The 23,384-nt window shown below is 39.1% G+C and overlaps 1 protein-coding gene across 18 annotated transcripts in view; it reads right to left on the reverse strand.

Annotated features, from left to right (window-relative positions):
- Positions 1–23,384, reverse strand: part of FBXL13 (F-box and leucine rich repeat protein 13) — a 263,608-nt gene that overhangs the window by 208,164 nt on the left and 32,060 nt on the right. For 17 of the 18 annotated variants that reach the window (NR_105043.2, XR_927410.4, XM_017011850.3 and 14 more), the window contains 4 exons: positions 9,999–10,066; positions 9,248–9,396; positions 8,097–8,206; positions 5,711–5,878 (listed from right to left, as the gene is read on the reverse strand). Coding sequence is in view for 15 of the 18 variants with exons in the window: in XM_017011850.3 (XP_016867339.1) it covers positions 5,711–5,878; positions 8,097–8,206; positions 9,248–9,396; positions 9,999–10,066 (495 nt within the window). In the remaining 3 variants the exon portion in view is untranslated. Of the gene's footprint in view, positions 1–5,710; positions 5,879–8,096; positions 8,207–9,247; positions 9,397–9,998; positions 10,073–23,384 lie in introns of those variants that run through there. The other variant, XM_047420044.1, reaches the window with a different exon arrangement.

The following is a 23,384-nucleotide window of genomic DNA, read 5'->3' on the forward strand; positions in this document are numbered from 1 at the left end:
TGCCCACAAGAGAAAGCAGGAAAGATCTAAAATTGACACCCTAACATCACAATTAAAAGAACTAGAAAAGCAAGAGCAAACATATTCAAAAGCTAGCAGAAGGCAAGAAATAACTAAGATCAGAGCAGAACTGAAGGAGATAGAGACACAAAAATCCCTTCAAAAAATCAATGAATCCAGGAGCTGGTTTTTTGAAAAGACTAACAAAATTGACAGACGGATAGCAAGACTCATAAAGAAGAAAAGAGGGAAGAATCAAATAGACACAATAAAAAATGATAAAAGGGTTATCACCACTGATCCCACAGAAATACAAACTACCATCAGAGAATACTATAAACACCTCTATGCAAATAAACTAGAAAATCTAGAAGAAATGGATAAATTCCTGGACACATACACCCTCCCAAGACTAAACCAGAAGATGTTGAATCCCTGAATAGACCAATAACAGGCTCTGAAACTGAGGCAATAATTAAAAGCCTACCAACCAAAGAAAAGGCCAGGACCAGATAGATTCACAGCCGAATTCTACCAGAGGTACAAGGAGGAGCTGGTACCATTCCTTCTGAAACTATTCCAATCAACAGAAAAAGAGGGAACAACCCCTAACTCATTTTATGAGGCCAGCATCATCCTGATACGAAAGCCTGGCAGAGACACAACAAAAAAAGAGAACTTTAGATCAATATCCCTGATGAATATCCATGCAAAAATCCTCAATAAAATACTGGCAAACCGAATCCAGCAGCATATCAAAAAGCTTATCCACCATGATCAAGTGGGCTTCATCCCTGGGATGCAAGGCTGGTTCAACATATGCAAATCAATAAACATAGTCCAGCATATAAACAGAACCAAAGGCAAAAACCACATGATTATCTCAATAGATACAGAAAAGGCCTTTGACAAAATTCAACAACCCTTCGTGCTAAAAATTCTCTATAAATTAGTTATTGATGGGACGTACCTAAAAATAATAAGAGCTATTTATGACAAACCCACAGCCAATATCATAATGAATGAGCAAAAACTGGAAGCATTCCCTTTGAAAACTAGCACAAGACAAGGATGTCCTCTCTCACCACTCCGATTCAACATAGCGTTGGAAGTTCTGGCCAGGGCAATCAGGCAAGAGAAAGAAATAAAGGGTATTCAATTAAGAAAAGAGGAAGTCAAATTGTCCCTGTTTGCAGATGACCAGATGACATGATTGTATATTTAGAAAACCCCATCGTCTCAGCCCAAAATCTCCTTAAGCTGATAAGCAACTTCAGCAAAGTCTCAGGATACAAAATCAATGTGCAAAAAACACAAGCATTCCTATACACAAATAATAGACAAACAGAGAGCCAAATCATGAGTGAACTTCCATTCACAATTGCTTCAAAGAGAATAAAATACCTAGGAATCCAACTTACAAGAAATGTGAAGGACCTCTTCGAGGAGAACTACAAACCTCTGCTCAACACAATAAAAGAGAACACAAACAAATGGAAAACAATTCCATGCTCATGGATAGGAAGAATCAATATCGTGAAAATGGCCATACTACCCAAGGTAATTTATAGATTCAATGCTATCCCCATCAAGCTACCACTGACTTTCTTCACAGATTGGAAAAAACTACTTTAAAGTTCGTATGGAACCAAAAAAGAGCCCACATTGCCAAGACAATCCTAAGCAAAAAGAACAAAGCTGGAGGCATCATGCTACCTGACTTCAAACTATACTACAAAGCTACAGTAACCAAAACAGCATGGTACTGGTACCAAAACAGAGATATAGACCAATGGAACAGAACAGAGCCCTCAGAAATAATGCCGCATATCTACAACCATCTGATCTTTGACAAACCTGACAAAAACAAGAAATGGGGAAAGGATTCCCTATTTAATAAATGGTGCTGGAAAAACTGGCTAGCCATATGTAGAAAGCTGAAGCTGGATCCCTTCCTTACACCTTATACAAAAATTAATTCAAGATGAATTAAAGACTTAAATGTTAGACCTAAAACCATAAAAACCCTAGAAGAAAACCTAGGCAATACCATTCAGGACATAGGCATGGGCAAGGACTTCATGTCTAAAACACTAAAAGCAATGACACCAAAAGCCAAAATTGACAAATGGGATCTAATTAAACTGAAGAGTTTCTGCACAGCAAAAAAAACTACCATCAGAGTGAACAGGCAACCTACAGAATGGGAGAAAATTTTTGCAATCTACTGATCTGGCAAAGGGCTAATATCCAGAATCTACAAAGAACTTAAACAAATTTGCAAGAAAAAATCAAACAACCCCATCAAAAATGGGCAAAGGATATGAACAGACACTTCTCAAAAGAAGACATTTATGCAGCCAACAGACACATGAAAAAATGCTCATCATCCCTGGCCATCAGAGAAATGCAAATCAAAACCACCATGAGATACCATCTCATACCAGTTAGAATGGTGATCATTAAAAAGTCAGGACACAAGTGCTGGAGAGGATGTGGAGAAATAGTAACACTTTTACACCGTTGGTGGGACTGTAAACTAGTACAACGATTGTGGAAGTCAGTGTGGTGATTCCTCAAGGATCTAGAACTAGAATTACCATTTGACCCAGCCATCCCATTACTGAGTATATACCCAAAGGATTATAAATCATGCTGCTATAAAGACACATGCACACGTATGTTTATTGCGGCACTAGTCACAATAGCAAAGACTTGGAACCAACCCAAATGTCCAACAATGATAGACTGGATTAAGAAAATGTGGCACATATATACCATGGAATACTATGCAGCCATAAAAAATGATGAGTTCATGTCCTTTGTAGGGACATGGATGAAGCTGGAAACCATCATTCTCAGCAAATTATCACAAGGACAGAAAACCAAACACCGCATGTTCTTACTCATAGGTGGGAATGGAACAATGAGAACACATGGACACAGGATGGGGAACACCACACACCAGGGCCTGTAGTGGGGTGGGGGGAGGGGTGAGGGATAGCATTAGGAGATATACCTAATGTAAATGACGAGTTAATGCGTGCAGCACACCAACATGGCACATGTATACATATGTAACAAACCTGCACGTTGTGCACATGTACCCTAGAACTTAAAGTATAAAAAAAAAAACCAGAAATATAGACTAATGGAACAGAATAAAGAGCCCAGAAATAATGCCACACATCTACACAATCAAGAAAAACAAGCAACAGGGAAAGAACTCTTCATTCAATAAATGATACTGGGATAACTGGCTAGCCACACGCGGAATATTGAAACTGGACCACTTCCTTACACCATATACAAAAATCAACTCAATATAGATGCAAGACTTAAATGTAAAACTTAAAACTATAACAACCCTGGAAGATAACCTAGGAAATACCATTCTGGGCATAGAACTTGGCAAAAATTTCATTATGAAGATGCCAAAAGCAATTGCAACAAAAACAAAAATTAACAAATGGGGCCTAATTAAACAAAAGAACTTCTAGCAGCAAAAGAAACTATCAACAGAATAAACAGACAACCTATAGAATGGTATAAAACATTTGTGAACTATACATCCAACAGAAGTCTAATATCCACAATCTATAAGGATCTTAAACAAATTTACAAGAAAAAAACACCACCATTAGCCAGGCACGGTGGCTCATGCCTGTAATCCCAGCACTTTGGGAGGCCGAGGCGGGTGGATCACGAGGTCAGGAGATCGAGACCATCCTGGCTAACACGGTGAAACCCCGCCTCTACTAAAAATACAAAAAATTAGCCGGGCGTGGTGGCGGGCACCTGTGGTCCCAGCTACTCAGGAGGCTGAGGCAGGAGAATGCCGTGAAACCGGGAGGTGGAGCCTGCAGTGAGCTGAGATCGCGCCACTGCACTCCAGCCTGAGCGACAGAATGAGACTCCGTCTCAAACAAAACAAAACAAAACAGAACAAAACAAAAAAAAATACCATTAAAAGAGTGGTGAAAACAGACAAACAAACACTTCTTAGAAGACATACAGGCAACCAATGAGCATATGAAAAAATGCTCAACATCACTAATCATTAGAGAAATGTAAATCTCACACCAGTTAGAATGGCTATTATTAAAAAGTCAGAAAATAACAGATACTGGCAAGGTTACAGAGAAAAGGAAATGCTTACACACTGCTGGTGGGAATGTAAATTAGCTCAGCCATTGTGGAAAGCAGTTTGGCCATTTCTCAAAGAACATAAAACAGAATTGCCATTCAACCCAACAATCCCATTATTGGGTATATGCCCAAAGGAATATAAATCATTCTACCATAAAGACACATGCATGCATATGCACATCACAGCACTATTCACAATAGCAAAGATATGAAATCAACCTAAATGCCCATCAACAGTAGACTGGATTTTTTAAAATGTGGTATATATATACATTGAAATACTATGCAGCCATAAAAAAGAATGAGATCATGTCCTTTGCAGCAACATGGACGGAGTTGGAGACCATTATCCTAGGCAAACTAACACAGAGACAGAAAACCAAATACTACACATTCTCACTTACAAGTGGAAGCTAAACTTCTGAGTACATATGGACACAAAGAAAGGAAGAACAGACACCAGGATCTACTTGAGGGTGGAGGTGGGAGGATGGTGAGGATTGGAGAAGTATCTATTGAATGCTAGGCTTATAACCTGGGTGACAAAATATACACCAAATTCCTATGACACGCAATTTACCTACATATAACAAACCTTCACATGTACTCCCTCAACCTAAAATAAAAGTTAAAAAGAGAGAGAGAGAGAGAGAGAGAGAGAGAGAGAGAGAGAGAGAGAGAGAGAAATAATTAGGGCAAGGATGACAGACTTTATTACATAAAGCTTTAAAATTTCTGTCATCAGCCGGGTGTGGTGGTTCATGCCTGTAATCCCAGCACTTTGGGAGGCCAAGGTGGGTGGATCACCTGAGGTCAGGAGTTTAAGACCAGCCTGGCCAATATGGTGAAACCCCATCTCTACTAAAAATACAAAAAATTAGCTGGGCGTAGTGGTGGGCACCTGTAATCCCAGCTACCTGGAGGCTGAGGCTGGAGAATCGCTTGAACCCAGGAGGCGGAGGTTGCAGTGAGCTGAGATTGCACCAATGCACTTCCAGCCTGGGCAACAAGAGCGAAACTCCATCTCAAAAAAAAAAAAAAAAAAAAAAAATTCTGTCACCAGAAGACTCCACAAGCAAAACTGAAAGCAAACATCAAGTGTGGGGGAAAAAAATCTCCAAATATATTCCAAAGGGCTAATATTGCCAATATAAAGAGCTACTACAAACCAGTAAGAAAATTATAGGAATTACAATGTAAAAACAGACAAGATAGGAGCAGGTAATTTGTAAAGGAAGAAATAATGGGCAAAAATATCCTTATTCTAACTGAATGCAATACATCAAGAGTAGGATTATAGTGTATACATACATATATATGTATATATATGTGTATATATATATATATATATATATATTTTTTTTTTTTTTTTTTTTGAGATGGAGTTTTGCTATTGTCGCCCAGGCTGGAGTGCAATGGTGTGATCTCGGCTCACTGCAACCTCTGCCTCCTGGGTTCAAGCAATTCTCCTGTCTCAGCCTCCCAAGCAGCTGGGATTACAGGCATGCACCACCACACTTGGCAGATTATAGTATATAATGTATACTGAATTCATACAAACCTGTAATATTGCTCTTTCAGGTAACAGTGAAATGTCACATTTTAGAGTCTCATCTACAAGAAAGACTTCAGAAGAACTTCGTTCAGGAAAATTGGATTCTTCTGCAGCAGCTCTTTTGAGTATTAACCTATTTTTCCATTTTTTCAATTGAAGTTCATGTTTTAATATCTGCAATGAAAATAATTTTAAAATTCCATGGAATTGCTGTAACGGTCAAGAGAGATGACAGACACAAAGCACAGTGCTTGACACAAGAATAGGACCAATTAAACATTATTTATGATCGTCATCATTACTACATAAACTATAATTTTTCATAAGCATGTTTAATGTTCTCTAAACCACCGAAGTATTACAGATCATTTCCATTAGTTGTCATAAAACACTGGCACAGGCAGCCATCTTGAAACGCTGATCTAGTCTCCTCTTTCACAGATGAGGAAGTGAGGACCACAAAGTCAAGGCTCTGGCAATGATAAAACTGGTAATTGGTGCATGGAGTGAAGGTGATTAACATACAGATAACAAAAAAGGGAAGTCAGTAGTAATGCATTTGGGAAATTGCCAAATTTATTGTCACAGGAAGTCCCCATTTTAACTTTTGATACACTTCTGAAAACTGTGTAATAAATAAAGGTAGTATTTCAGTCATAAACATATACACAATATTGGCATAATATATATTGATGTAATATATATATGTGTATGTGTGTATGTATGTATGTATGTGTCTGTGTATATACACACACATATTAGAGCCTGAGGCAGAACACATGTGGAGCGCTTGACACACAGGTGTTCCCTGCCTCTGCTCCCAGCATACACTTGCCATCCTCACTCCATTTAAGTGAATGTAGAATGATTGTTAGGTCAATAAATCATATATCTAGAAAAAAAGTTCTCTAAACACACAATTAACTATATAATATATATAATATACATATATCTTGATGATATTATAGTACATATAGCATAAATTATATATATTAATATATATCAACCACTGTGTGCAAAACATTACGCTCAGCATATGGACAATACTAAGAGAACAATACTGCCTGCTCTCAGGGATTTTTTTGTTTGTTTGTTTTTTGAGAAGGAGTTTCGCTTTTGTCGCCCAGGCTGGAGTGCAGTGGCGTGATCTCGGCTCACTGCATCCTCCACCTCAAGGGTTCAAGAGATTCTCCTGACTCAGCCTCCCAAGTAGCTGGGATTACAGGGGCCCACCACCATGCCTGGCTAATTTTTATATTCAGGGATGTTTAGCTGAAGGGGGTGTATAAGGGGGGACTGGTCATGTACAGTTACCTATTTCACTATTAGACAATCAGTGATCAGGCATAGAGGGCAGTTATCAAAACACTAGCTTAACATACAGACTGGTGGAAAGCAGTGAATGAGCAGACTAACATAGTATTAGGTACCCAAAGTAGAGCTGTTTCACTGGTAACATTGAAAAGGTAGTTTGCAAAAGGCAAAGCCTAGAGGACAGCCTGCAAGACCACCAGCTCAAAACCTATAGATTATAAACTTCTAGAGAGCATCTCAAGTAATCTCTGAGATGCTTAAAGCTCAGCACAGGCTCTAGCATTGTTTTAGGCATATGTAAGTAATAAATCTCCTCATACTCTTTTGCTGCGTGTGTGCTATTGTCAGTCTCAACATCTGAACCAAATTTAGGTGAGTAGAGGCATTGATCCATGGGGCAACCACAAAAGAAGGGGATTTAACTTCACCCCACATTCTCTTTCCTATCTACCCTTACTTTATATTTCAAAGAATATTAATAAAATATCTCCTACTAAATAATGTAACTACAGAAAAAAAAATCCAGCATGTTTCTACATCTGATCATAGTGTTACTTTGAGCATACTAAACCAATATTAAGTAATGATATACTAATAGCTGAAGTAAATTTTAAATTATTAAGTTAAAGAACAAGAATCCCGGCCAGACACGGTGGCTCACGCCTGTAATCCCAGCACTTTAGGAGGCCGAGGCGGGCAGATCACCTGAGGTCACGAGTTCAAGACCAGCCTAGCCAACATGGTGAAACCCCATCTCTACTAAAACTACAAAAAAATTAGCTGGGTGTGGTGGCAGACACCTGTAATTCCAGCTACTCAGGAGGCTGAGGCAGGAGAAATGCTTGAACCTGGGAGGCAGAGGTTGCAGTGAGCCGAGATCACACCATTGCACTCCAGCCTGGACAACAAGAGCAAAACTCTGTCCCAAAAAAATAAAAATAAAAAAAAACAAGAATCCCATCAAAAGTAGATAATATTCAGGATTTTAGTATTTTCCACACACGGCATTACTATTTGAGGCAACATGAATATAACTGAAACATTCGGATTCTTAAAAAATTGTTTCAATATACAATACCAGCTCATCTTCTTTCTTTTTACTCTTATGTCTTGCTGTATTCCGCCATTTTGTTAGGATAATGGTTAGCTTGTGACAATAGATGATCTGTTGTATCCGCAATAGAATATCTGAAGGAAATTTACTAGATTACTGTATATATTAATAGTTATAGCTGTTTCCAAAAAACACAAAGTGATTTAATAGTCTATCATGTTTATGAGACAATGTCGCATCTGATCGTTTTTGTTTGGTCTTATTTACACTTGAAATTAATTACTTTTGATAGCATTAGTACTCTCAAGACTTTACGAACTGGGAAACATCACCTTTGCCCTTAGAAATTAAGATGTAAAACTGCAATAGAAATGTCAAGACATGTATCATTTCCTTTTTTTAAACAAGGTTGTTCTTTGTAAAACCAGAACTTCTAAACTTTTTCATAAGAAATACAGTCATAAGGTAGCATTTAGATCCAATGCCTTTGAATTTAATTTTATGTCCTGTGATTAACCAGTTCCTAACCCTTCGTTACACTAATGTTAAAATTTTCGGAGGGTCCACTCTAACTGAGGTACCAACCAAAGCCAGCCAAAAAGAAATGATTCTCTGGTTTGCAACAGTCATAAACAAGTTGTTATCAGGAGAGTTGCAAAAAAATCTAACTGGAAGACAAGAGCTCTTGGAGGTTATACTGAGTGAGCATGGATCACATGAATGTACCTCCCACCCACTCAGTATAACCCCCAAGGTCTTAAGAGAAGATAATTTTTATTTTTTAGTTTCGTCATATATACATTAAATATAATCTTTGTAAAAAGCATAAACCTCTTTACAAAAATAGTCAATTTTGGTACCTGTCCATACTATTTGGAACCCATCCAGCTCTCTATTATGTAGAAAAGCTCATAGTAGATTCTATTTATATTCATGTATACATACACACAAATGCACACAAGATTTGATTTTAAATGTTTTCTATTAAAATAAAATCCTTTGAGACAAATCTCCTTAAGTATTTTTAAATTAGCAGCTCTACCTTCATTTCATGACAATTGTCTAGACATAAAAATGATAGGTTCTCTAAGTACCCAAAGTATGCTTAACTGTTAGTTTTTTTATTATTTCAATAAATGGATACAAAAAGTAATTGCTACTATGTAAGAATTTACTTTTAAGTTTTTCTTTCTGGTCTTCCATATAAGAGTGCCAGTGATGAAATACAGATTTTTGAAGTCTGAAATTGTAGCATGTCACTGCTCTGTTCATTTTTTCAGCCAGGACGACATTTTCATTTGTACGAGCTATGTCTCTCCAAGTGCTGCAGGCAGAAGACATTTTTTAAAAAATAATATTTTGATATTAGGGCAATATATCATTAAATAAATTAAGGAGAACAAAGAATGATATCTCCTTTATGACCTCAAAAACCACAGCATAGAAAGAAACTTCTACAACTTGGGTATGACCTGAAGAATTCCTAAGAGTTATAGAGAAAAATGGAGATTATATGAGTCATATTTCTTTTTAGATAAAATAAAGAAATCATGGGATAAAATCATGTTGTCATAATTCCAATTTACCAAAAGAACCACCTAATGATGTCTTTTTTTAAAAGGAATCTAAATTCCACAACATATTTGGCTCCAAGGGTTTCAGATAAGTGGACTGTGAAACTAACTATATTTTAATTTTAAAGTTTTATTTTTTAAGAAAAGATAATTATACCTTAAAGAAGTAAAATACATATTTTAACTAAGTAAAAGCTGATTAAATATAAAAGAAATATATAATACAAAATGGTAGAAACATGATTAAACAGATAAAATCAGCACAACTGGCCAAAAGTGAATTTTTCTTTGCACGGAGAATATCAAGAATAAAAACTCAAAGAGGAAGAAATTGTAAAAATCACATTCTTACCAAAAATGAGTCTTTACTAAATGTCCAGTATAAAAGCTACAGGCTTTTATCATCAATTCCGGAGTCATCTAAAGTAAATAAATAATTGAAATAACAAATATTAGAAATAAATGGAATGCACAGACTACCTCTGCAAGATACTCAAGAAAAAGAGAGCAATGGATGCCAAGAGGGAAGGGAATTGGGCAGTTGGAGACAGGAATGGGCTGAAAGAACTATATACTATTTATGTTTTGGAATTTTGTGTATGTCTGTAAGCTATTTTTTTAAGTTAAAATAACAGCTTAATATATTTTCCCATTATATCTCACTTAGTTTGAAGAGTTAAGCATCATGGCATTGTTATGATAAGCTATATTTATAATAGTATAGAATTGCAGTTCTGCTGTTCACTATTAAAACAGAATGATTTTCTGAATCATTCTGAATCAAACAGAATGATTTTTTTCAAGGATATAAACTGAGATTCTCTTTTCAACATAGAGGAATTCCTCATTTACCAAGCAGGAATAGGAAAACCACATAAATGAAAAGTCTAAACTGTGGAATATGCTTAAAGAGATGCAAATTTATCACTTACAACTATTCACAATAACATGTGGCAACAGCTAACTGAAATCATCTATACCTTCTGTGCATTCTTTAATAAGTAAAGATATTATTATATTAACATAAGTATTATATGCACATGGCTACTGTTAAGTGTTAATGGTGTTTTCCTCTTATTTTGTTGCCCCTTTGCTTACTATATAGATATACAAACATATGGTCACATCTATTTGGTGTATAGGTAAGTTTGGTTCAAATCTATACCAACAGCCAGGAATTCTGAATTCTACTTTTCTAAGGCAAATGTTTTCTCCTTTGCACATTGCTGTAAATACTTTGTTAAATTAACAGATATGGCATACACATGTTCATCATAGATTTATTTTAGGCATACAAGAAAGGCCCATAGGACCCCCGACATGTGAAAATCCTCACTTTTGATGGAGATTAAATGCAAATTATGCCTACAGTGAGGGACAACATAAACGATTCAAGTCATTCTTCACTAAATTCAGATTTTTATAGAAGAAAGGAATCCAGATGAGTAAAGGAGTATTGAGGATATTACAGCAGGCAGAATAAAAACCAAGAAGGGGATGAGGTGGCAAAGGCAGACAAATTTCACTAACATTACAATTTTTCAGTACTGTTGTAGGTCCCTAAATTTCATGAGCTTAATTCTTTTTAGATGATATTACCTGAAAAGTCCTAAATAAATAACTACAGTAAATGATATGTCATAAAAATATGAGTATATTATATGACCAAATGAATGTAGTTCAAAACATTATAGTAATAATGATTTTGAAAAGAATTATTAAAATTCAGCAAATACCATTTGAACTCAAGTTTTCTTTTCTGATGATCAACTCTTTAAAACAGCATAAAAGCATTTTCTATTCTATTATTGAAAGAAGTAATTTAAATCCTCATTAATTCATGATTTATAATACACCAGAATTTTTGTTGTTCTAATATTCATTTTTTAAGAGTTTCTCTTCATAAATTTTTATTTTAACTTTACATTTATTGTTCTCCCAGTTTGCAAGGGAGGGAGGGAGCGAGGGAGCGAGGGAGGGGAAAGGAAGGAAAGAGAGAAAGAAACAAACTCACAATTTTTCATTATTATTATTATTGGTATATATTCTTTTCTTCACAGGGAAAAGCAAGTTTAAGAGAGCATCTCCAAGGGACTAATATGCAAGAGGACTCCAGCCCAGTAATGCCCCATTCCCCACTTAGGGGTGGGCATGTGTTGACTTCACTGCAGCTCCAAGGAATCTCTGGCCAATCCAATCACTGGGCACATGTCTGGACCACTTAGTCACATGGCTTCACTTCCTCCATTTATGTTTCCACCATCCACACTCCAGCCAATGGCTTCCCACCCTTCACAGTCGCTGCATATTGTTTAACTGCTTCTGACTGAAAAATATTCTTCCTCTCACCTTTTAATTCCAGCTGGCAGTGTTTTGCACAGAGTAGGAGCTCAACAAATATATATGTATTGATCCATCAACAGAATTAGAAAACTGCTTAAATGCAAGCCAATTCTCCACCATCTGACTACCACAAATGGAGGGCAAAGGATTCTGGTAACAACTTTGTGGGCAAGTCAGTGGATAAACAGCAAGTTAGTGCTGGCTACAGATGGCCTCAGAGTACCCTCACATAACACTCACACCACTAGTGCTGCTATCCCCAGACACCCGTAGTTACAAACAAAGTGAGGGAGGAATGGACAGTGCATCACAATACGATTTCTAAGAGTCCAGGTACACTGAAAGGTTAATTTCTAGTCTGGAAATAAAAGAAAAAATTCTACCATAAGAGATGATTTTTAAAGTTAAAGAGTGGGAATGTGTAAATAAATAATGAATTCGTTGCAAAAGATTTTTCATAGTATTAAGTTAGGGTTTAACACTACTTTTTTAGGCCAGTGGCCTACAAGAAGCCAGTTGGAATCAACTGCAAAACTTGTAAACTACCCAGGCTCACTTCCCAAGATTCCTTAGCCCTCCACTCTTACCCTCTCTAGGAATTACTGCTGTGATTAGTCACTATTATGACTAAGAGTATGTCTTATTCCTCATGTACACTGGGGACAGAAGAATGTTAAGTCCCAAATTTTAAGCTGAGTTCCAGCAGCATACAATAGCACACACACTAGTTTCAAGGAAACATGTTTTTATAGATTAGGAGAGAAAAAGAAGTGAAATATAAAACTGATTTCTTTTTGAAAAGATATTATATGTAGCATGATTACAACCCAGTCCTAAAAAAATAGCTTATAAAAAAATTTCATTCCTCTGCCAGGGTTGGAGGAAAATAAGATTTAAAATTTCAAACTTACAGAGAAATAAAATAAACACCTAATACCCACAATCCATGTTTAACATTGTCAACATTCTGCCATACTTGCTTTTTCTATTTTAAAGTATATAAATTAAGACATCATGACATTTCATCCCCCAAATCTCATAATATCCATCTCTTAAAAAATGAGTACCTTTTCTTTGCAACCACAATTCCATTATCCTGCCTTAGACACTTAATAGTAATTGCTTAATATCATTGTACCCATGCCATAGCCAACTCTCTGGAATTGGCCTCCAAATGTCTTACACGGTTTGTTCAAACTAGAATCCAGACAAGGACCATATATTTGCATTGCAAACTCAGTTGATGCGAGGATTTCAATAGCTACAGAAAAAAAGTTTTAGTTTTTCCTTCTCCTTTTCTATATTTTCAACATTTAATGAGTATGAGGTGTGGAGGTGGGATAACATTGGCCTAAATCTAATGGATTCTGTTACCTGGGCCTGTCTAATATTACATTCTAAAAGTCAGCCAGGCATGGTGGCTCACACTTGCAATCCCAAAACGTTGGATGGCTGAGGTGGGAGGATCCCTCGAGCTCACGACTTAAAGAGTAGCCTCGGCAACATAGTGAGACCTTGTCTCTGCTAAAAATAAAAAATTAGCGGGGTGTGGTGGCATGCACCCATAGTACCAGCAACTTGGGAGGTTGAGGTGGGAGAATCACTGGAGCTCAGATAGAGGCTGCAGTGAGCAAGCTATGATTGTGCCACTGCACTCCAGCCTGGGCAACAGAGTGAGACTCTCTCTCTCTGTCTGTCTGTCTCTGTCTCTCTCTCTCCATCCCCCCATACACACACACATACACACTCACACACACAGAGTTCTAAAAGTCAATTTAAATATTTTTGACAGACAAGAGACTAAGAAAGGTTTTTTTGTTTGTTTTTTGTTTTTGTTTTTCTTTTTTTTCTTTTCCTATGCTCTGAAAGAAAGACAAGAATGGGGATGGGGTGGGGAGCCACATGTCATCTGTCTCTGCCACCTGAATCAGGGGTCTGAGTCTTAGGGAAGAACAAACTGCAGGCAGAATCCAAAAGAACTGCTCCTATGAGGCACACAGCACTATTTGTGCAATACAAAGTGAAGGAAAGGCATTGTGTCCAGAATTGGTGGGTTCTTGGTCTCACTGACTTCAAGAATGAAGCCGCGGACCCTCGCGGTGAGTGTTACAGTTCTTAAAGGCGGCGTGTCTGGAGTTTGTTCCTTCTGATGTTCGGATGTGTTCGGAGTTTCTTCCTTCTGGTGGATTCGTGGTCTTGCTGGCTCAAGAATGAAGCTGCAGACCTTCCCGATGAGTGTTATAGCTCTTAAGGCAGCGCGTCTGGAGTTGTTCGTTCCTCCTGGTGGGTTTGTGGTCTTGTTGGCTTCAGGAGTGAAGCTGCAGACCTTCACGGTGAGTGTTACAGCTCATAAAGGCAATGTGGACCCAAAGAGTGAGCAGCAGCAAGATTTATTGCAAAGAATGAAAGAACAAAGCTTCCACAGTGTGGAAGGGGACCCCAGCGGGTTCCCAATGCTGGCTCGGGCAGCCTGCTTTTATTCTCTTATCTGGCCCCACCCACATCCTGCTGATCGGTAGAGCCAAGTGGTCTGTTTTGACAGGGCGCTGATTGGTGTGTTTACAATCCCTGAGCTAGACACAAAGGTTCTCCACATCCCCACCAGATTAGCTAGATACAGAGTGTCGACACAAAGGTTCTCCAAGTCCCCACCAGAGTAGCTAGATACAGAGTGTCGATTGGTGCATTCACAAACCCTGAGCTAGACACAGGGTGCTGATTGGTGTGTTTACAAACCTTGAGCTAGAGACAGAGTGCTGATTGGTGTATTTACAATCCCTTAGCTAGACATAAAGGTTCTCCAAGTTCCCACTAGACTCAGGAGACCAGCTGGCTTCACCCAGTGGATCTCGCACTGGGGCTGCAGGTGGAGCTGCCTGCCAGTCCTGTGCCGTGTGCCCACACTCCTCAGCCATTGGGTGGTCGATGGGACTGCGCACCGTGGAGCGGGGGGCGGCGCTTGTAGGGGAGGCTAGGGCGGCACAGGAGCCCATGGACGGTGTGGGGGAGGCTCAGGCATGGCGGACTGCAGGTCCTGAGCCCTGCCCCACGGGAAGGCAGCTAAAGCCCAGCGAGAAATTGAGCACAGCAGCTGCTGGCCCAGGTGCTAAGCCCCTCACTGCCCGGGGCCAGTGGGGCCGGCTGGCCGCTCTGAGTGCGGGGTCCGCTGAGCCCACGCCCACCCGGAACTCCCGCTGGCCCGCAAGCACAGTGGGCAGCCCCAGTTCCCACCCACGCCTTTCCCTCCACACCTCCTCGCAAGCTGAGGGAGCCGGTTCCGGCCTTGGCCAGCCCAGAAAGGGGATCCCACAGTGCAGTGGCAGGCTGAAAGGCTCCTAAAGTGCCGCCAAAGTGGGAGCCCAGGCAGAGGAGGCGCCGAGAGCGAACGAGGGCTGCGAGGGCTGCCAGCACACTGTCACCTCTCAGCATGTCCCCCACTACTGTACAGCACACAGAGTACAAGGCCATCAAATTTAATGTGACTTTAAATTTTGCAAACTTAAACTAATGTGATACAAAATATATTACAAAAGTCTTACATTATGCCAGTTTTTGAAAAAACACAATCTTTCAAATTAAAATTTTACTGAGAGGTATTTCCTTTCAAAGCTGGTGGGAAAACGAATTAAAAGTTTAAGTATTGCCACAAAGTGGTACTATTTTGGCAGGTAAACAAATGCGGCTTTAGTCTTGAAGTATGAGTTTGAGTTATTAGCAGTCTTCAGAAAAATACGGCATCTTGTGAAAAGTGTGACCAACCAGTGTGGTCTGAGTAAAGTTGGCAGGCAAGGGAAAGGAAGAGTATTTGGCACTTAAGGATTCCAGGTGTACAGCCTGGAACACCAGCTCAGGCAGACATTGGGGCTCTTAGGAAGACCAGGTTGGCAGTTCTAGGGTCCCCTTCAGATGGCCTCACAGGTTCCAGACAGACACTAGGAGGAATTCTTGAATTTACATGGGATAGCTTTGGGATTCCCAGACACAAATGGGTAGAACTTGAAGAGGAAACTGACCTCTTGTGTTATGAAGACAGGAGCTAGAGGCAGTGAAATCTGGGATATTCCTATTAACACTGCTCTACTAATATCCCAGGTTGGTGAGACCTGGGGAAGTGTTGTAGTAAATGAAAAAATAATGAAATACTATTACAAATTACTGTTGACTTAACAGATACCAAATTTATGGCTCTTTAATATAAGTAGTAATTGATCCCATTAATTTTTAATTTTGTAAGATATCCATTTACTATATGTAAAAAAATGCATTTAAACAACAGCTATAGAAAAAAAGTTTCAGTTCTATAAAATACTTAAAGTATCTAGTAAAGTATTAAGAATCTGGTAAGAACCAAATGTAAAATAAATGTAAATCATTAACTTTATATTATAATTTTTAGCTTCCAGCATATTGTAATATTATTTTTCTTCTGGCAGGCAATTCCCTTTTTTGCTCAGTTAACCTGTGAATCAAAAGATTATATATGAAATTGTCTTAACATAATTCACCATATTATAAAGTACCATGCCTTTACTTCATTAATGAGCTTCATTTATATCCCACATAGTATCATTCTAGAATAGGGGTCTCCAACCCCCAGGCCACAGACTGGTACAGGTCCATGGCCTGTTAGGAACTAGGCCACACAGCAGGAGGTGAGCAGTGGGCAAGCGAGCATTACCTCCTGAGCTCCACCTCATCAGCCGCAGCATTAGATTCTCATGGGAGCACGAACCCCACTGTGAACTGTGCATGCAAAGGATCTAGGTTGTGCATTCCTTATGAGAATCTAACTAATGCCTGATGATCTGAGGTACAACAGTTTCATCCTTAAATCACCCCCACCACCCCACCACAGTCCATGGAAAAAATTTCTTCCACAAAACCAGTCTCTGGTACCAAAAAGGTTGGTGACCACTGTTCTAGAATAATAATAGCAAAACAGAATGGGGATTATAAATATGTGTTGAATGGATATGCCTAATTTAAATCCCTCCCAACTCAGATTTTTTTTTTATTTTTCAAAAGCCCTACAAGTTAATAACAATGGCAAAAAGAAGCCATGTCTTTAATACAGAGAGAACATATCTTTATATATAGCAGCACGGCATGGTATGAAGTGTTGAATTTTTCATGATGAGTCATTTTTCTTATTTCTTGATCTTCTGCAAATTACTGATTTATTTATTTATTTATTTTTGAGACAGAGTCTCAATCTGTCACCCAGACTGGAGCACGATCTTGGCTCACTGCAATCTCCACTCCCCGGTTCAAGTGATTCTTGTGCCTTAGTCTCCTCAGTAACTGGGATTACAGGTGTGCACCACCACACGTAGCTAATTTTTGTATTTTTAGTAGAAATGGGGTTTCACCATGTTGCCCAGGCTGCTCTTGAACTCCTGGCCTCAAGTGATCTGCCCACTTCGGCCTCCCAAAGTGTTGGGGTTACAGGCACAAGCCACAGTGCCTGGCCCAAAAGAGTCTTTAATACCTAAAGGGCTTTTGTGCCTGGACAGAAACGCTCACTAACATTTGTACTTTAATGCTTTTTACCAATAAACACATATTTAAATAAATACAATTTTGGAAACTCAATGTTTCTTAAACATGTTCATGTTTGTTACCAACTTCATTAAGTAAAGTCCCTGAAATAATTTAAACTACAATTACAATTTACAAAGCCATTCCTTAGAACACCTAAAATGCCATAAATAGCAGACAGAATATACATAAATATCATATCATTATTATATGTTACACTTAAACTTATCCTAAACAACATGAATCTAGTTCATATCTTCATTACTTCCACACTTTACTTAATGTTTTACTCCTTCCTGATTACAGTAATGTTTATTTTGATGCCTTATCAGATAACAGTAATGTACTCAGTTTCAAAAGAAATGAAATACCTTTGCAGAGCCAACAAGGATACAGGATCAACCAACTGATTATCAACCAACTGATTCTTATTTGGGGCACAGGCATTGTCTGCCTCTCCCAAATGATTAAAACTCCAGCCCCTAAGGGTCTTAAGATTAAGTTTCCTTTCCACAGTTAAACTTTGTTCATCAGTAAGACTTTTCAAATCCATATCTTTCATTTACATTTTAGGGTTTTTTTTACACGATGCTCCTCTGTGATAGCATTATTTTAAAATATTTTGTATTTTATTTTATTATTTTAAAAGACACAGTGGGTCACGCCTATAATCCTAGCACTTTGGGAGGCTGAGGTAGGAAGATCTCTTGAGGCCAGGAGTTTGAGACCAGCTGGGGCAACACAGTGAGACTCTGTCTGTACCAAAGGAAAAAAAAATTAGCCAGGTGTGGTAGCTCACATCTAGTAGTCCCAGCTACTCAGGAGGCAGAGGCAGGAGGATTGTTTGAGCTCAGGAATTCAAGGTTACAATGAACTATGATCATGCCACTGCACTCCAGCAAGAGTGACAGAGTGAGACCCTGTCTGTAAAAGAATATTTTTGGGCATGCTTCCAAGATGGCCGAATAGAAACAGCTCCGGTCTGCAGCTCCCAGCGAGATCCACGCAGAAGACGGATGATTTCTGCATTTCCAGCTGAGGTATCTGGTGCACCTCACTGGGACTGGTTGGACAGTGGGTGCAGCCCACAGAGGGCGAGCTGAAGCAGGGTAGGGCATCGCCTCACCCAGGAAGTGCAAGGGGTCAGGGGATTTCCCTTTCCAAGCCAAGGGAAGCCATGACAGACTGTACCTGGGAAAACGGTACATGCCTGACCAAATACTGAGCTTTTCCCACAGTCTTCGCAACCTGCAGACCAGGAGATACCCTCCCTCCCATGCCTGGCTCGGTGAGTCCCACACCCATGGAGCCTTACTCACTGCTAGCGCAGCAGTCTGAGATCGACCTGCGACACTGCAGATTGGCGGGGGGAGGGGCATCTGCCATTGCTGAGGCTTGAGTAGCTCACAGTGTAAACAAAGAGGCCAGGAAGCACAAACTGGGCGGAGCCCACCACAGCTCAGCAAGGCCTACTGCCTCTATAGATTCCACCTCTGGGGACAGGGCATAGTAGAACAAAAGGCAGCAGACAGCTTCTGCAGACTTAAACGTCCCTGTCTGACAGCTCTGAAGAGAGCAGTGATTCTCTCAGCACGGCGTTCAAGCTCTGAGAATGGACAGACTGCCTCCTCAAGCAGGTCCCTGACCCCCATGTAGCCTGACTGGGAAACATCTCCCAGTAGGGGCTGATAGACACCTCAAACAGGCGGGTGCCCCTCTGGGACGAAGCTTCCAGAGGAAGGATCAGGCAGCAATATTTGCTGTTCTGCAGCCTCCACTGGTGATACATAGGCAAACAAGGTCTGGAGTGGACCTCCAGCAAACTCCAACAGACTGGCAGCTCAGGGGTCTGACTGTTAAAGGAAAACTAACAAACAGAAAGGAATATCATGAACATCAACAAAAATGACATCCACACCAAAACCCCATCTGTAGGTCACCAACATCAAAGACCAAAGGTAGATAAAACCACAAAGATGGGGAGAAACCAGAGCAGAAAAGCTGAAAATTCCAAAAGACACAGGGCCTATTCTCTTCCAAAGGATCGCAGCTCCTCGCCAGCAAGGGGACAAAACTGGATGGAGAATGAGTTTGACAAGTTGACAGAAGTAGGCTTCAGAAGGTGGGTAATAACAAACTTCTCTGAGCTAAAGGAGCATGTTCTAACCCATCCCAAGGAAGCTAAAAATCTTGAAAAAAGATTAGATGAATGGCTAACTAGAATGAATAGTGTAGAGAAGACCTTAAATGACCTGATGGAGCTGAAAACCATGGCATGAGAACTTCATGATGCATGCATAAGCTTCAATAGCTGATTCCATCAAGTGGAAGAAAGGATATCAGTGATTGAAGATCAAATTAATGAAATAAAGCAAGAAGACAAGATTAGAGAAAAAAGAGTGAAAAGAAATGAACAAAGCCTCCAAGAAATATGGGACTAGGTGAAAAGACCAAATAAATATACATTTGATTGGTGTACTGGAAAGTGACAGGGAGAATGCAATCAAGTTAGAAAACACTCTTCAGGATATTATCCAGGAAAACTTCCCTAACCTAGCAAGGCAGGCCAACATTCAAATTCAGGAAACACAGACACCAACACAAAGATACGCCTTGAGAAGAGCAACTCCAAGACACATAATTGTCAGATTCACCAAGGTTGAAATGAGGGAAAAAATGTTAAGGGCAGCCAGAGAGAAAGATTGGGTTACCCACAAAGGGAAGCACATCAGACTAACAGGGGATCTCTCGGCGGAAACCTTATAAGCCAGAAGAGAGTGGGGGCCAATATTCAACATTCTTAAAGAAAAGAATTTTCAACCCAGAATCTCATATCCAGTCAAACTAAGTTTCATAAGTGAAGGAGAAATAAAATCCTTTACAGACAAGTAAATGCTGAGAGATTTTGTCACCACCAGGCCTGCATTACAAGAGCTCCTGGTGGAAGCACTAAATATGGAAAGGAACAACCGGTACCAGCCACTGTAAAAACATTCCAAATGGTAAAGACCATCGATGCTATGAAGAAACTGCATCAATTAACAGGCAAAATAACCAGCTAATATAATAACAGGATCAAATTCAAACATAACAATATTAACTTTAAATGTAAATGGGCTAAATGCCCCAATTAAAAGACACAAACTGGCATACTGGATAAAGAGTCAAGACCCATCAGTGTGTTGTATTCAGGAGACCCATCTCATGTGCAAAGATGCACATAAGCTCAAAATAAAGGGATGGAGGAATACTTACCAAGCAAATGGAAAGCAAAAAAAAGCAGGGGTTGCAATCCTAGTCTCTGATAAAACAGACTTTAAACCAACAGAGATCAAAAAGAGACAAAGAAGGCCACTACATATTGGTAAAGGGATCAATTCACCAAGAAGAGCTAACTATCCTAAATATATATGCACCCAATACAGGAGCACCCAGATTCATAAAGCAAGTCCTTAGAGACCTACAAAGAGACTTAGACTCCCACACCATAATAATGGGAGACTTTAACACCCCACTGTCAACATTAGACAGATCAATGAGACAGAAGGTTAACAAGGATATCCAGGACTTGAACTCAGCTCTGGACCAAGGAGACCTAATAGACATCTAAGAACTCCACACCCCAAATCAACAGAATATACACTCTTCTGAGCATCACGTCGCACTTATTCTAAAATTGACCACATAATTGGTAGTAAAACACTCCTCACCAGATGTAAAAGAACAGAAATCACAAAAAACTGTCTCGCAGACCACAGTGCAATCAAATTAGTACTCAGGATTAATAAACTCACTCAAAACTGTACAACTACATGGAAACTGAACAACCTGCTCCTGAATGACTCCTGGCTAAATAAATAATAAAATTAAGGCAGAAATAAACATGTTCTTTGAAACCAAGGAGAACAAAGACACAATGTACCAGAATCTCTGGGACATATTTAAAGAAGTGTGTAGAGGGAAATTGATAGCACTAAATGCCCACAAGAGAAAGCAGGAAAGATCTAAAATCGACACCCTAAAATCACAATTAAAAGAACTAGAGAAGCAAGAGCAAACACATTCAAAAGCTAGCAGAAGGCAAGAAATAACTAAGATTAGAGCAGAACTGAAGGAGAGAGTCACAAAAAACCCTTCGAAAAACCAATGTATCCAGGAGCTGGTTTTTTGAAAAGACCAACAAATTGATAGACCGATAGCAAGACTAATAAAGAAGAAAAGAGAGAAGAATCAAATAGATACAATAAAAAATGATAAAGGGGTTATAACCACCGATCCCACAGAAATACAAACTACCATCAGAGAATACTGTAAACACCTCTATGCAAATAAACTAGAAAATCTAGAAGAAATGGACAAATTCCTGGACACATACACCCTCCCAAGACTAAATCAGGAAGAAGTTGAATCTCTGAATAGACCAAAAACAGGTTCTGAAATTGAAGCAATAATAGCCTACCAACCAAAAAAAGACCAGGACCAGACGGATTCACAGCCAAATTCCACCAGAAGTACAAACAGGAGCTGGTACCATTCCTTCTGAAATTATTTCAATCAATAGAAAAAGAGAGAATCTTCCCTAACTCTTTTTATGAGGCTAGCATCATCCTGATACAAAAGCCTGATAGAGACAAAACTAAAAAAGAGAATTTTAGGCCAATATCCCTGATGAACATCAATGTGAAAATCCTTAATAAAATACTGGAAAACTGAATCCAGCAGCACATCAAAAAGCTTATCCACCACAATCAAGTTGGCTTCATCCCTGGGATGCAAGGCTGGTTCAACATATGCAAATCAATAAACATAATCCATCACATAAACAGAACCAATGACAAAAACCACATGATTATCTCAATAGATGTAGAAAAGACCTTTGACAAAATTCAACAGCCCTTCATGCTAAAAACTCTCAATAAACTAGGTATTGATGGAACATATCTCAAAATAATAAGAGCTATTTATGACAAACCCACAGCCAATATCCTACTGAATGGGCAAAAACTAGAAGCATTCCCTTTGAAAACTGGCACAAGACAAGGATGCCCTCTCTCAATACTCCTATTCAACATAGTTTTGGAAGTTCTTCTGGCTAGGCAATCAGGCAAGAGAAAGACATAAAGGGTATTCAATTAGGAAAAGAGGAAGTCAAATTGTCTCTTTGCAGATGACACGACTGTATATTTAGAAAAACCCATTGTCTCAGCCCAAAATCTCCTTAAGCTGATAAGCAACTTCAGCAAAGTCTCAGGATACAAAATCAATGTGCAAAAATCACAAGCATTCCTATACACCAATAATAGACAAACAGAGAGCCAAATCATGAGTGAACTCCCATTCACAATTGCTTCAAAGAGAATAAAATACCTAGGAATCCAACTTACAAGGGATGTGAAGGACCTCTTCAAGGAGAACTACAAACTACTGCTCAACACAATAAAAGAGGACACAAACAAATGGAAGAACATTCCATGCTCATGGATAGGAAGAATCAGTATCATGAAAATGGCCATACAACCCAAGGTAATTTATAGATTCAATGCTATCCCCATCAAGCTACCACTGACTTTCTTCACAGAATTGGAAAAAACTACTTTAAAGTTCATATGGAACCAAAAAAAAGCCCACATAGCCAAGGCAGTCTTAAGCAAAAAGAACAAAGCTGGAGGCATCATGGAGACTTCAAACTATACTACAAGGCTACAGTAACCAAAACAGCATGGTACTGGTACCAAAACAGATATATAGACCAATGGAACAGAATAGAGACCTCAGAAATAACACAACACATCTACAACCATCTGATCTTTGACAAATCTGAGAAAAACAAGCAATGGGGAAAGAGTTCTCTATTTAA

The sequence above is a fragment of the Homo sapiens genome, chromosome 7 (assembly GCF_000001405.40).
Source record: "Homo sapiens chromosome 7, GRCh38.p14 Primary Assembly".
NCBI lineage: Eukaryota > Metazoa > Chordata > Mammalia > Primates > Hominidae > Homo > Homo sapiens.